The sequence below is a fragment of the Homo sapiens genome, chromosome 6, assembly GCF_000001405.40.
Source record: "Homo sapiens chromosome 6, GRCh38.p14 Primary Assembly".
Lineage (NCBI taxonomy): Eukaryota > Metazoa > Chordata > Mammalia > Primates > Hominidae > Homo > Homo sapiens.
In genome coordinates, this window is record NC_000006.12 from 13,222,550 (window position 1) to 13,237,991 (window position 15,442).

At 43.7% G+C, this 15,442-nt stretch overlaps 1 protein-coding gene and 1 long non-coding RNA gene across 22 annotated transcripts in view, besides 2 other annotated features; one reads left to right on the plus strand and one right to left on the minus strand.

Moving 5' to 3' along the window:
• Positions 1 to 15,442, plus strand: part of PHACTR1 (phosphatase and actin regulator 1) — a 571,071-nt gene that overhangs the window by 505,783 nt on the left and 49,846 nt on the right. For all 20 annotated transcript variants that reach the window (XM_005248934.4, NM_030948.6, XM_047418373.1 and 17 more), the window contains 2 exons: positions 5,267 to 5,514; positions 7,488 to 7,644. In XM_005248934.4, the coding sequence (XP_005248991.1) occupies positions 5,267 to 5,514; positions 7,488 to 7,644 (405 nt within the window). The remainder of the gene's footprint in view (positions 1 to 5,266; positions 5,515 to 7,487; positions 7,645 to 15,442) is intronic.
• On the minus strand, positions 412 to 7,424 carry LOC105374933 (uncharacterized). Of its 2 annotated transcripts, XR_007059456.1 has the most exons (4): positions 6,972 to 7,424; positions 4,612 to 6,570; positions 3,868 to 3,996; positions 412 to 1,429 (listed from the first exon to the last, which is right to left on the minus strand). It is a non-coding gene; the product is annotated as an uncharacterized LOC105374933 (long non-coding RNA). The 2 variants fall into 2 exon arrangements; XR_007059455.1 differs by lacking the exon at positions 6,972 to 7,424 and having other exon boundaries at positions 3,868 to 5,268.
• Positions 6,723 to 6,782: an enhancer, noted in NCBI's record as "active region_24020". NCBI's record gives its function as "activates an Ori minimal core promoter by ATAC-STARR-seq in GM12878 lymphoblastoid cells {active_cell/tissue: GM12878}" and the evidence as "EXISTENCE:reporter gene assay evidence [ECO:0000049][PMID:35858748]".
• Positions 6,953 to 7,042: a silencer, noted in NCBI's record as "silent region_16925". NCBI's record gives its function as "represses an Ori minimal core promoter by ATAC-STARR-seq in GM12878 lymphoblastoid cells {active_cell/tissue: GM12878}" and the evidence as "EXISTENCE:reporter gene assay evidence [ECO:0000049][PMID:35858748]".

Below are 15,442 nucleotides of genomic sequence, written 5' to 3' on the forward strand. Positions count from 1 at the left end.
GCGAATGCTGCAGATTCCTGATAATTAATACCTAAGTGGCTTTTGAAGAGACTCACATGGTACAGTGCTGAGAATGCAGCAAGCAGCAAAGCCACTGTGGATGCTCTAGGCCAGTGGCTCCTAATCTGGGATGATTTTTGTCCCCCTGTCCCCCAGAGGACATTTGGCAATGTCTGAAGATTGTTTTGGCTGTCACAGTTGGAGGAAGTGCTGCTGGCATCTGGTGGGCAGAGGCCAGGGGTACTGCTAAGTGTACTACAATGCACAGGACAACCCTCAAAGCAATGAATTATCTGGCCCAAAATGTCAGTCATGCCTGTGTCGAAAAAGCCTGGTCTAGAGCAACATTTAACCAAACTGTGATATCTGCATCATTGGTGGTACAGAAAATGAGTTTAGGACAACCTTTTATTAGTTTTAATATTTTATTGAATATTGTATGTACTTATGCATATATCAATATTGAAAATATATGTATTACAAATATAAAAATATATCTTAACATGTTATAAACCTATATGATTTACATACAAAACCTGTTATTACAAAGATATCATTTGCTTAGGATGAGGTTACAATAGTGTTTAAATTTTTAAAAAATACCGTACTGACTTAAAAAATTACAAAGTAAATAATAGTGTAAATGGACTTCAAAGATGCCATACACAAAAAAGATTAAGGAGGTGGGAGTATAATCAAGGTTTAGAAAACACTGGTTCAGATCAGGGCACAGAAAATTTTTTCTTTAAGGAACCAGATAGATAGTAAATATTTTCAGCTCTATTGCAACTACTCCACTCTTCTATTTTGGTGCAAAAGCAGCCAAGGTGAATCGGTGAATAGATGGGTCTCCTGAACGCCCTGAGTATTAAACTCAGTGCCCCAGGAGTGGCCTGGTCATGGCAGGGTAGAATACTATTACCTACCCTAGTTAGTAGGACTTAAAATAGTTATAAATAATGATGCCCATTTTTTACACACGTTGTTGACAAGGTATGATATTTCCTCCATCTTGCCTGGGTACATTTAGTCAGGTGTGTGTTTTATCAAAGGACACATCTCATAAGTATCACAGTTCAACTTTTGCATGCAGAATTTGTAATACAGTAGGTTCAAATTTCAAGCCCTTCCTTTACCAACTGTGTCCTTGTGGGCCTATTCATTACCCTTTCAGAGCTTCAATTTCCTGCTTCATAAAATGGGGAGAACAGCACCTGTCCCATACGGTTGCTGGAAAGGTGAAATGCAACACTGTGTGTGAAAATTACACATTTAGTAAATGTTCTCTCTATTCACTCTCCCTTCTTTCCTTCTCTCCTTCAACTCTTTCAGTTATTCATTGAGGATGCCCTTTTTGTCATTGCCATTGATAAAGATGCTAACCAAGTCCAGAGCACCACATCCCTGCAGCACACCACTAGATGCCTCCCTGAAAATTAAAAAAAACCCCTTAGTTAATGCCTTTTGAACATGTTTTGCTGACTGCTTACAAATATATCTAAATGTCAGTCATTCCAGCCCATATTTATTTCATTCGGCTAAAGCAATAGACAATTACTGAGCATCTACTTTGTGTCAGGCACGATACTAGGCACTAAGCATAGTAATAGGAACCAGATACAAACAGAAGATGTGGCTTCTGCCCGACAAGGAGCCTACAGCCTTGGGTGGTGAAGAGAAGATAGTAAGCAAACAGATGATCATGGTTTTCACCCTTGAGGACTCTCTCCCATAAACACAGGCAAGGCACTGACTGAGACAAGTATTGAGAGAGAAATAGGAATGAATGAGGTGAAGATGGTTTGGGAACACATTCCAGGCCAAGAGCATTGAATGCATAGTTGCAGGTGATCAAGGGGTCAGTTGTTTGGAGACAGAAGTAAAGAAGTGGGAATGAGTCTGGGTTAATAATTTGGGCCAAATTATGTAGGGTGTGGCAGGCACGTGACATTATGTTTAAGCTACTGTTTGCAGGCTAATGGTTTTCACCTTCCTTTCGGAATGAGAGCCTGTATTTAGAGCAGATGTAGGTAATAACTATGTTATAAAAAAAACTCGTGCTACAGTGACTGATGTTCTGCTGGGTGTCTGTCAGCAGCAGGGCACAGGCCACGTGTCATAAGATGCTGCATTTGAGTTGATTTGGTTCTTTGCCTCAAATAGTACAGTTCATGATGCGTTAACTGAATTTTCATTTGCATCACTCCTAGAGCAGTAGTTTTGTAGACTTGAGAGGCATTCAAAGTTCTCATGGGTGAGGCTCTTAGATCCGAGTTTTAGAAAGCCGCTCCGACAGCTCTGGAGACTGGACTGAAACTGAGCCTGCTGTGAAACCACTTGGAAGGCCATGTCTGTCAATAACCAGTGAGGGTCTCATCTGAGGCCGTGTCAACAGGCGACTTCACATGCACCAGCCCTACAATTTGGCCAATGTCAAGAAGAGAGTAAGTGGCAAAACGTGGACTCAGATCTGTCTGGACTCCCCAAACTGAGGCCACATATTAACCTTCCCAGCCTCCTTTTCAGCTAACTTCTATACTCTCCTTTCTTTTCTTGCTCTCCTGTGGTTCTCCATAGTTACAAAAGGGGTGGATTTATCGGGGCATTTGTCTTCTTCTCAGGACTCTTCCTGATGCATAGTTGGCATTCAGTGGATATTTATTAATAGAATGTTTTACAATTCTTTTGGTGGATTCACCTAGCTTCATGGAAAACTACCTCCTTCAGTCTTAAGGAAAATTAGGCATTCAAGCACATGCTAGGGTTCACACATCAAGAAGATGACCTGATTGGCCCCAGAAGTCTTTAGCTGTTTCTCTAGTGCCCCAACAGGCAGTCATTGGCCACCTGACCAATCCCTATTTGACAAACCCAGTAGCATGGTACCTGGTACCTTTCAAAGTAGCCAGCTGTCCTCCATTTAATCCCATCCTATGCAAGAAGGTCTCTCGCTGCCCATGTATCTTTGAAAGAGAGGAAACCACAGCCTCTTGTTGATTACACACTACCTATGTGGTGGAGTTTCTTATCTTCCTTTGCATTTTTCTCTCTTCTTTATCTTCTTGAATCAACTTGGAGCCTTCTACCTTAAGGAACTCATACTCTCTAGTTTCCAACTTTTTTCCTTAAAAGATTCTTCCCACCAAACAAGAATCTATTGACTGCTTTCATCCCCAGCTCCCGGCTGCCGTTATCCCCAGCTCTGTGCCTTTATAGGAACCATTGCTAATTAACCAAAAAGTGGAGAGAGGAAAAGACAGGATTCAGGCAAAACATGAGCCATGGAATTACATTTTTTGGCCTCTTCCATCCTTACTTCCTATAATACCCAATGTGGAAATCCAAGCGCAGTTGGAATGGAGTGGCTGTCACTGATAAAAGGGCTGCTTTGCAGGGTGGGCACCAAGTCCCCAGCCCCACTTTCATCACCCTTCGCCACCCTGGAGGCCATCTATCGTGTACTTCACCCTCCTGCTCCCATTGTCATTTGTATTCAATTAGGTGGGAAATGGACCAACGTAAACCACTAATGTGATAAACCACTAATAAGATGCTGCATTTTGTAAATACGTGATTTAATCCTATTCAGTAGTTGGCTTTTTTTTAAGTTGATTTAGTTCATTGCCTTGAACATCATAGCTCATAATGTGTTAACTAGATTTTTCCATTTGTGTCACTGAAGAGTTCTGTGAAAAATACAAAGAGAAAAACAGCTCTTTGCAAACAATGGAAGGAAGGAAGTTAATTGAATTTACATTAGGCATAGCAATAATTTAAAGCGTAATTGAAAGTTTCAAAGGAGAGGCATGCATTCATATGTCATAAGTCAGATTTCTTTTGGATAAAATATTCAAATGTAGGACTTACTGATATATAATATAACCTCATGCTCCATTTCCTTAGGCATGTCAAACACTTTTGGATGGTAAAATGCATTGAGTTTCCTGTATTTAGAAATTCCTTAAATGAAAGATATAAATTCCACTTCCAGTTAATCTGAAAAAGAATTATAAAATTTAACTATGGTTTCTGGCTTCATATTCTATGATTCTTACTAGATTTCATGCAAAGCCTGTCATAAAAAAGGGTTCTAAGTTACTACATAATCCTCAGCTAGAGGATTAAGAAAATAATTATTTTATTTTTGATGACACGCATGTAGTAACTTTCGAACAACAAACTTGTATAGATTTTTTTTTTTTTTTTTGAGATGGAGTCTCGCTCTGTTGCCAGGCTGGAGTGCAGTGACACGATCTTGGCTCACTGCAACCTCTGCCTCCCAGGCTCAAGCGATTCTCCTGCCTCACCCTCCCAAGTAGCTGAGACTACAGGTGCGTGCCACCACACCCAGCTAATTTTTGTATTTTTAGTAGAGAGAAGGTTTCACCATGTTGGCCAGGATGGTCTCGATCTCTTGACCCCGTGATCCACCTGCCTCGGCCTCCCAAAGTGCTGAGATTACAGGCATGAGCCACCACGCCCAGCAGTATAGCTTTTTTAGTTAACAAAGATATTTGATCCAAGTTGGTTCAACTTAAGAGGTAGAACCAAAAACATCATCCTCGATGCCTCTTAGAAAACTGACCTGCAAAATATCCAGACTGGCATTACCTGTGGCTCCCTGTGGGAGAGAACTTTCTCTAGGTCATCGCTAACAATGTCATGCATGGGTCTCCAGCCTTGTGTCCATCCCGCTCTTCCCTTTCTCAGCATCTCCAGCCACAGCATTTCAGTCTTTCACACACTCAGTCCCTATTAGTCGCCCTGTGTAGCTTTAGAAAACTAGAACCTCAATTATTATCTTTCTCTCCTGAATCTGTAGCTTCACTATCAAATTAATCCTTTACCCTTGCTTTTAATTTTTTTTAATTATGGTAAATACAGATAACATAAAATTTGCCATCTTAACCATTCTAAAGCATACAGTTCAATGGCATTAAGTACGTTCACATCATTGTGCAACCATCACACCACCCACGAGGAGCCGGATTTATTATTTCCTATCCCACGCCACTATTCCCATCAGGAAACCATGCCATCTTAACCACTATTCCCATCAGGAAACCGTGCCATCTTAGCCACTATTCCCATCAGGACACCGTGCCGTCTTAAAGTGATTCCCTGTAAGATGAGCAATGGAACTTTACTTGCCCAGTAGACCCTTTGTCTCTTAGGACTGGGCAACTGAGTTTTAAAATGGTTTTGATGCATTTATATAGCACGTTAGCCAAAGTGAATTTCCTCTTTCCTCCTTGTCTTTAAACAGCTCTGAGCAGCGGGTCCCCTGTTCCACTTCTTACCACAGCTCTGGGTTGCACTCGGGTGATGGGGTCACCAAAGCAGGACCTATGGGCCTTCCAGAAATAAGACAAGTGCCAACTGTTGTGATTGAATGTGATGACAATAAAGAAAATGTGCCTCATGAGTCAGACTACGAAGACTCTTCTTGCCTGTATACAAGAGAAGAGGAGGAAGAGGAGGAGGACGAAGACGACGACAGCTCATTATACACCAGTGCGTTCATCTTAACTCATCACCAGGGGTGGGGAAGCATGCTATTGTGGAAAGACAGCAGAGAGTGGACCCAGCAGCCCAGCAGTCTGGGTTCTAATCCCTGCTCTGGTGTTGACTGGTCCTGGGTCGTAGGGCAGCTTAGTCTACCTGTTGGGGCCTCAGTTCCTACATCAGTAAGAGGAGAGGGTAAATGTCCTCTAAATGCCCTCCTTAAATTCCCTCCTAGCTCTAAAAATTACTGCCACCTCCTACCTCTTTAAGTGGCTTCTTTGTTGCTTCTCTTAGGATGCAACTTCTCCCCCACCCAAAAAAAACTTTAAGAAGTTTAAAACTCTGTCCCTGTCTAGCAAACACTCAAATACTACTCACTGTGTATGCAACAAATTCACTTTTTAAGCATACCTCAGCAACTTTAGAAGGCCTCAATTTAAATTTCTTATTTATGACCTTTAAATGTGCTAAGAGACAAGAGAAGAAATGAAGAAAGCAAAGTTCAAAACCTATCACTCTGGCCATGAACAGTAAATAAATTTTAGTTACGTGAGTACAGCCTGATATTTGGCCAACTTTTTAATAAATGAACTTATGAGAATAGCAACCATGCATTGAACATGTACTGTGTGCCTGACAATGGGCTACGGTTTTAATCTCTCACCTACATCTCACAACAACCCTGAGGCATGGACACTATTGCCTCATTTTACAGATAAGGGCAGAAAATGGAGAGACAAGGCGCTGGCCCAGGGCCTCACGTCTGCTAAGGGGCAACGCTGGGGTTTGATGCGGGCTCTGTCACATTCTGAAGCTCATGTTCTAAAACTAGTGGAGGAAGAAAGAAGAAAAGCACTACTCAATCAAGCCCAAAGCCATCCTCAGACTTGTTGCCTGCTGGCGTTTTCTCTCGCTCTCTACTTACCAGGCTTCAAATAGCTGGCTCCAAGTAAGACCTGGTGAGCTATGAAGGGATCCAAGTGATGTCAAGGAAAGAACCACACAGGGCAGCCAGAGACCTCAATGATCCATGAATGGAAGGAGCAGCTGCTCAGCCCCTGTTTGCTGTTCAGTATCCAGAGAATTAAATGTTTTATACAGAGGTTTCTCAACCTCAGCACTCCCGGCATTTGGGACCAGATAATTCTTTGGTGTGGGGCCGTCCTGTACACTGTGGGATGTTTACAGGCATCCCTGGCCTCTGTCCGCTAGATGCCAGTAGCACCCTCTGCCTGCCACCTTAGTTTTGACAACCAAAAAATGCCTTGGGATTTTGCCAGGTGTTCCCTGGGGAGCAAAATCACCACTGGTTGAGAACCACTGATTTATATCAGATGTAGGGAAGCCCTGCCTCAGCTGCTCAGAAATGCTGGGGTTGAAAAGAAAAAACCCATCCCAGGATATTGCGTGTTTCAAAGCCCTCACCTCCACTCCCACCCCCAACCAGCCCCACTTTGTCCGCCTACCTTTTTTCTCCTTCACGTCCCCCCAGCTCCAGTGTAGTTGATCTTTTCTGTCTCTTGAGATTTCCTGGTGTAGCCTTCACCGCTGAACTTCTGCAGACACAGATCCCCGCCCACCTGCTGCCTGTTGGACTCTCATCTCTGCTTCAGGTGTCAGCCCCTCCTCCTCGTGAAACTTCCCCTAGTTGCTAAAAGCCTCTGTCCTATCTCCCCCTTTGCAGTCCACTGCACCCCACAGCCAGTCCTGCCCTCCTTTGTGATGTTGCCTGCGTGCTAGACATTCCTGGAGAGCAGAGACCCAATCACAGGTTCCCCATGTGCTGTCCATGTGCCCCACACAGTGCTAGGGGTAGAGTGTGTGGCAATGGCAGGAACTCTAGGAACTGAGGCATTAACCACTTTCAGGTGTTAAAACCTTGATGACTTCCTTCCTGCCTTGTATCTTATGACCCAGGGTTGGCCCTGTGGGAGCCCAGGCAGATATGTAAGCCTTAATTGACTCATTTCTGTCTCCTACAGGCTCCCTGGCCATGAAGGTCTGCAGGAAGGACTCCTTAGCCATCAAACTCAGCAACAGGCCCTCCAAGCGAGAGCTGGAAGAAAAGAACATCCTTCCCAGGCAGACGGATGAGGAGCGGCTGGAGCTGAGGCAACAGATTGGCACCAAGCTCACCAGGTAGGACAGCGGCACCCTCTGCCTCCCTGGCAGTGGGCCTTTAGCTCTCCAGGTTCTAGCAAAAGAATTCAGTCTCGGCCGGGCGCAGTAGCTTATGCCTGTAATCCCAGCACTTTGGGAGGCCGAGGCAGGTGGATCACATGAGGTCAGGAGTTCAAGACCAGCCTGGCCAACATGGTGAAACCCCATCTCTACTAAAAATGCAAAAATTAGTCAGGCATGGTGGCCTGTAGTCCCAGCTACTCGGGAGGCTGAGGCAGGAGGATTGCTTGAATCTGGGAGGTGTAGGTTCCAGTGAGCCGAGATCACACCATTGCACCCCAGCCTGTGTGACAGAGCAAGACTCTGTCTCAAAAAAAAAAAAAAAAAAAAAGGAAGAGACAATGGAAAACATCCCATTTTGTCTCCAAGGTTGTTTCTATAGTGCCCTCTCCTTTATTTATCCAAATCTTGGAAAATTCACTTGATTCAAGGTTCAGGGAGAAATTGAGAGGCAGGTTTCCAGGGAGAATAATCATCTGTAGAAAAGCCTCCATCATCTGGCCAGGCACGGTGGCTCACACCGGTAGTCCTAATACATTGGGTGGCCAAAGTGGGCAGACTGTTTGAGCCCAGGAGTTTGAGGCCAGCCTGAGCAACAAAGTAAAACCCCATCTCTACATAAAATCAAAAATTAGCGAGATGTGGTGGCACATGCCTGTGGTCCCGGCTACATGGGAGGTTAAGGCAAGAGGATGGCTTGAGCACAGGAGGTCAAGGCTGCAGTGAGCCATTATTGTGCCACTGCACTCCAGCCCAGGTGACAGAGAGAGAGAGAGAGAGAAGGAAAGAAAGAAAGAGAGAGAGAGAGAAAGGAAGGAAGGAAGGAAGGAAGGAAGGAAGGAAGGAAGGAAGAAGGAAGGAAGGGAAAAGAAAGAAGGAAAGAGAGAAAGAAAGAAGGAAAGAGAAAGAAAGAAGGAAAGAGAAAGAGCGAAAGAGGAGGAGGGAGGGAGGGAGGAAGGAAAGAAGGAAGGAAGGAAGGGAAAAGAAAGAAGGAAAGAGAGAAAGAAAGAAGGAAAGAGAAAGAAAGAAGGAAAGAGAAAGAAGGAAAGAGAAAGAGAGAGCGAAAGAGAAGGAGGGAGGGAGGAAGGAAAGAAGGAAGGAAGGAAGGGGAAAGAAAGAAGGAAAGAGAGAAAGAAAGAAGGAAAGAGAAAGAAAGAAGGAAAGAGAAAGAAGGAAAGAGAAAGAGAGAGCGAAAGAGAAGGAGGGAGGGAGGAAGGAAAGAAGGAAGGAAGGAAGGAAGGAAAGAAGGAAGGAAGGAAGAACAGCCTCCATCATGTAATAGAATTGAGGACCTATGGAGAGATAAGGTGTGGTTTGATTAAGCACAAAGCAATCAGACAAACACACTCTCTGATATACGGTTAAGTGGTTGGTAGTGATGCTTCATTACTCCACTGGGACTCATTTTGAGTGATTGCCCTTTATGTATGGATATTACAGACATGGGCATAGCTTTATGTTATATTAAGATATTAACCACCCATGTATGTATTTGTAATCAAGGGCATGTTTATGTGACATTAGGTAACCTTTGTTGAGTACTTACTATTTGCCACCATTCTCTAAACATTTTATATGTATTACATTGTTTGTCTTTGAGCCTGTCTATAAGATACACCATTTGTATACCCATTTTACAGATGAGAATACCAGGCATAGAGAACTTTGGTTACTTTGCATAATGTCACACAGCACAGCTCTGGAATTCTCTCTCTTGAGCCCTTACTTTGTACCAGACACTGTTGTGAGTGCCTGGACATAATGTGTGGAAGTCTACCAGGGCTTAATTCTGATTCTCCCTCTTACTAGGTGTATAGCCTTAAGTAAGTCACTTATTCTCCTTACCTGTGTTTCTGCATATGTAAAAGAGTGAGTTGTGAAAATTAAGCAAGTTAATAGAAGTATTTAAAACAGTATCTGGCCCATAGCAAGCAATCAGTTACCTGTTTTCACCATCACCTTTGCATTGTACAAGTGAGAAAGGTGGTGCCTAGAGGTTATGTAGACATAGGCATCATCCAACAGTATGCCAGTATTCTTCCCTCCCACCTGATTTATTTTGCTACCTAAGAGCAGCTTCTTTTTCAAAATTAACTTGGTTTCCTCTTGGAGGATATTGTAATGGTACAGGGCTTTGTAAAATGGTCAACACTGATGGATGATTGGACGTAGTGTTATGCAGTCTTTAGAGTCATAGAATGAAAACATCTAACCACCTGCCACACACACATACATACTTTCTGTCATTGACTGAAGTAACATGGCCTTCTCTTTTAATACCTCAGTGATAGTTACAGCTCTCTAGAGAGCCTGTCCCATTGTTGGAGAGCCTTATTCTTAGACATTCTTCCAATATTGAACTGAAATCTGTCCATGCCACTCCCACCCATTGGTCTTATTCTGTGTTTTCTGCACCCTCATCCCCCATAACATGGCATGCTGTAGCATACTTGAAGACAATGATCCTGGCTTCCCCAATCTCTCTCAGGTTACATAGAACGAGATCTCGGTTCTGAGGGTGGTTGGGGTGGGTGGGTGTGGTTCTGGGCTACTCCTGACCCAGCTTGTTCAAGTTTACACATTATCCTCTAGGGAATCAGAAAAAAGAGAAGGAGCAGATCTTTTATTATAGCTCCTTCCCCTCACTTCCCATTCCTCCAGCTCTGCTACAGTACAAGGAGAGCCCCAGGTATGTGAGGGGCAAATGAAGATTTATCTGCAGATGGGAGTGAGATGCCAGAGCATCTGGCTGCCCCAGTGACCTCTTCTGTGCCAAGTGTGAGAGAGAGATGGGAAGCATAGGAAGTCGGCCTGTGAGGCTGGCCACCTGCTTGTTCACTGTGGGGTCCTTGCACCTGGTTTAGACTAACACAGTAAAAAAGGGCACCATTGCCCCAGAGCATACTCCTAAAAAGGGAGACAATCCCAGCCTCTCCTGCCTGAATACATATCCACAAGCCACCACCATGATTAGCTAGCAAAGGCAGTCACAAAACCCAGAGGTGGGAAGAGACATAAACCGTCCATGCCCTGAAAGAAGTTATCTGCATCTGAAATCTTATCCTGGTAAATCAGCCCTTTCCCAACTCTTCCCCTTATAAGGACATCCACTGAAGGTTTACCATAGTATACATTGTTCCCAGCCCTCTTTCATTATGGTGGATGGCAGGTGTATTATTCAGTTTGCTGCTATGAAGAAATACCTGAGACTGGGTAATTTATAAAGAAAAGAGGTTTAATTGACTCACAGTTTCCCATGGCTGGAGAGGTCTCAGGAAACTTACAATCATGGCAGAAGGCACCTCTTCACAGGGTGGCTGGAGAGAGAATGAGTGCAAGCAGAGGAAATGCCAGATGCTTATAAAACCATCAGATCTCGTGAGACCTACTCATTATCATGAGAACAGCATGAGGGAAACTGCCCCCATGATTCAGTTACCTCCACCTGGTCCTGCCCTTGACACATGGGGATTATGGGGATTAGAATTCAAGGTGAGATTTGGGTGGGGACACAGAACCAAACCTTACCAGCAGGAGAAGACACATCAACTAGGGACAGAAAGACAAAGTAGAGAAGGCAGCATATTCAAGCCATTGAGATGGCCTGCATCCTTCCTCTGAATCCACTTTGTCCTTCACTCTTTCAACTAGGGAGTTTCTTTCTTTGTGGTAAGACCCTTGGAAGCTCTAGCCAGATTGCAGGGACTGTACCTAAAGGACAGACTGTCAGGCATGCCTAGCAAATTGGCAAAGTTGTACAGAGATCAGCACATCAGGCAGATAGGCCATATCTATACCTCAAGGTCATTTTTGAGGTAGCACAGCCATTAATGCAGACCCAAAGAGTTTTAGGGACTATTCCCTTTAGAACTGAGAGCTCAACTCTGTGCTTCTAGCCACCCATTCATCCTGAAGCCAGGGCAGAATGAAGGGGAAATCCAAGAACCAAAAAGTGACTGTGGTAGAGAGCGAGCTACTCTGGAGTAGAAGTTTGGGTTCTGGCTCTGATTCTTTCATTCCCTAGTCATTTGCCCTGAGGGCATTAGACTAGGTCATCTGATTACTGTGTGCAAAATATGTGCTTTATGATCACAAAAAGTAACTAAAAGAATGTAGACATGTGCTGTAGAGTTGGCATTTCTGAAGCTACAAGGCTGCAGCATTCTCTGGCTATTAATGTACTGGAAATCTTAGGCTCTTTGAAAAGCATGTGGCCAAGTCTGTGGTCCTCATGGAGTCAGCAAGATAGAAAACATAATTTTAGCCTGACAGTTCCAATAACATAAGAAAAAAAAAAAGACCACGATGTGTAGCATTCTAAGAATAATCCCAAATTGAGGGTGAGGAATGGGAAACAGAAACACCAAGTAAAATGATGTCAACTTCTGCAGAACCTCCCAGCATTAAGGCAGAGTTTCTACATAAAAATGCCAAAATTACTGTGCTTCCAAAAATGTTCACTTGTTGAGGCTATTGGGCAGACTCTACTAAGTCTCAATAAGCAAGTCATCTGGATTTTTTAATAAATAACTATTTCAGTCCACTGCCATTGGAGACGTGTGGACTGCCCCAGAGACATGAACATTGGTCAACAGGGTTCACGTTGCTCCTCCTCCATATGTATACAGACTTTGAACTTCAGGATGGCACAGAGGACCAAGGGGTGGTGAATGATGCCATCCACTGGGGTGCCAGGCAAAAATTGTAGAGCTTCTATTTACATTCATTTCATATGATCCTTTTTAATATGGTTATTTGTGCCTGAATTGTAATGCGCATGGTGTATCACTGCAGTAGTACCTGTGTCTTATACATAAAGGAATGGTACCTATGGGGACATTTGCTTAGATTCGTATTGATGAAGTTCTCTTAGAATCCACTGGTTTGAGTGTCACTTCTCAGTGCTACATGAGTAGCACTTTTCATCTCCAGTGGACACACAGAGACCTCAGGGCAATCCCTCACCCCACCTACCCCGCCCCATGCAAAACCATTCTGCATTCTCTCTAGATCTCCTCTTGGGATTCTGCATCCTGAACTAGGAGGTGCCCTGACTATGGGATCTTAGCCATCAGATCTACTTCTAGTTCTGTTCATTTGCCAAGCTTTTTATTCCCACCAGAGTAATGTTCCCTCATGACTCCATTTTGTTTATTTGAAATATAATTGAACATACTACTCCAAAAAATCAGTATTAAAAAATTAGACACAGAGCCATGCTTCTCAAAGTTCATAGTTAGGGTGCCCTGTCAGGGCGACCTCGTGATCTGCCAGAGACAGCATGCTCTGGCACTTCCTCACTTTCCAGCCTATGACACTGACAGGTTGGTGAAGTGAAACCCCCAGAAGTTGGAGCTTCAGATCACTAGGTATGGGGTGTTCTGGAACTAAAGAGTAACCTAATGCCTAACAAGTTGTGCTTTTGATTCTGAAACATCCTATAAAAAGTCAGTCATTCAGTAAGTTGATAGGGCTACTCATTTTTAAAGGAAGGGACTAAGACTCCAAAACATGACCTATTTGTGGTCAGACAACAGCCAGTCTACTTGGGACCTCACCTAGGGAACGGCTAGCTCTTCAGACCCAACAGAGGATCGACTGGCCCAGTCCTCTCCAACTGAGGTCCTCTGTCCCCACCCATACCCTCTTTGTTGTTTGGACCAGATGAAAGAAAAAGCCTGCAAAAGAAAAATAAAATGGAAAGTGCCTCACCATATACACAGGAGTTTATCATCTAAAGTGAGCTCAGGAGTAAATGAGGATTGGGGCTGTCTACCTCCCTGACATACTCCTTCCCCTAAAATATCCCTTCACCCTTGAAATATCACCCTCCTACTCAGGAATGAACTATGGGCATTTTTTTTTTTTTGGCAGTCAGAGTTGACCAGAATTTTTTCATCACCTGAGCTGGAGCAGGGAGACTCCCCACTTCTAGTTGGATGCATCTCTATGTAGAAGCTCTTGGAAGCCTGGTCACTTGGTTTGGGAAAGAATATTTCTCCTTGTGATGTCCTTTTCCTAAGCTAGACATAGCCAATAATGCAGACCACTCACCTATGATTATTCCCAATGATCAAAGGAAGATACTGACTTTATTTAAGCTACTTGGTGTATTCATTTGCTGGGGCTGCCATAACAGAGTCCCACAAATCAAGTGGCATACACAACAGAAATGCATTGTCTCGGAGTTTTAGAGGCTGGAAGTCTGAGATCCAGGTGTCAGCAGAGTTGGTTCCTTCTGAGGGCTGCGAGGGAGCATCTGTTCCAGGCGTCTCTCCCGGCCTCTCGTGTTTGCTGGGAATCTTTGGTCTTCCTTGGCTTGTGGATGCATCACATCAATCTCTGCCTTCGTCTCTGCATGATGCTCTCCCTCTGTGTGTATCTCTGTGTTCAGATTTCCCCTTTCTATAAGGACACCAGTTATGCTGGATTAGGGCCCACTACCCCACCCTAAAGACCTCATTTTAACATGATTATCCCTGTAAAGACCCTGTCTCAATAAGGGGACATTCTGAGGTACTGGGATTAGGATTTCAACCTAGAAGTTTTAGGAAGACAGAATTCAATCCATAACCCTTGGAGAAGTTTCAAGTGGGTTTACCTAGAGAAGGGACCATGACCCCAAATGCATGTGGGAAGAGACAGATATTGCACAGAAGTGAAGCAGACAGTGAGGAGATGAATAGGGAGTGTTAGGAACAGGGGCGAAATGAAAAGTCCACCCTTGCATCAAGAGGCCATCACTGTTCAGCTTCAACCCCCTGTTGTTTTGCAAAAATGAAGGACTAGTTTGTTAGCTCTTCTGAAAAAAAGAATCTGGATTTTTAAAATGACAATTTCAATTTTTTTAGACTTTATAGGACTGGCACAGTGGCTCATGCCTATAATCCCAGCACTTTGGGGGGCCAAAGTAGAAGGATCACTTGAGCCCAGGAGTCTGAGACCAGCCTGGACAACACAGACCCCATGTTGACAAAACAAATTCTTAAAAATTAACTGGGCATGATGGCGTCCACCTGTAGTCCCAGCTGCTTGGGAGGCTAAGGTAGGAGGATCCCTTGAGCCCAGGAGGTCGAGGCTGCAGTGAGCTATAATTGTGCCACTGCACTCCAGCCTGAGCAACAGAATGAGACCCCTCTTTTAAAAAAAAAATGAGATAGGCAAAAATATATATTTGTGGACTGAATTCAGCCCAATGACTCCATCTCAGTTCTGGGCCTCCTGTTTTAAATCTTGGACCTGGATGGTGTAGTTTATTCTATTTATAGTATATTCATGAAGTCTGTGTGCATGCACTGCACATGCCGAGGAGACAATGAGACAGGAATAGTAGGTATGTTGTAAATGTAAATGTGAGCACGTGTATGTGTATATCAGTAGCAATTTAAAATTAGCATCTGTAGAATCCAAATTAGTTTGAATGTACAGTCATACATTGCTTAACGATGGGATTACATTTTGAGAAATGTGTCAGGCAATTTTGTCATTGTGTGGCCATCATGAAGTGTACTCACACAAACCAAGATGGTAGAGTCTACTACACACTAGGCTAGATGGTAAAGCCTATTGCTCCTCAACTACAAACCTGTGTGGTATGTTACAGTACTGAATACTGTGGCAATTGTAACACAATGGTATTTGTGCATGTAAACATAGAAAAGGTAGAATAAAAATACAGTATTATAATATTTTGGGACCACAGTCCCATATGCAGTCCGTTACCCAAAGGTTGTTATGAGGTGCATGACTTTACTTA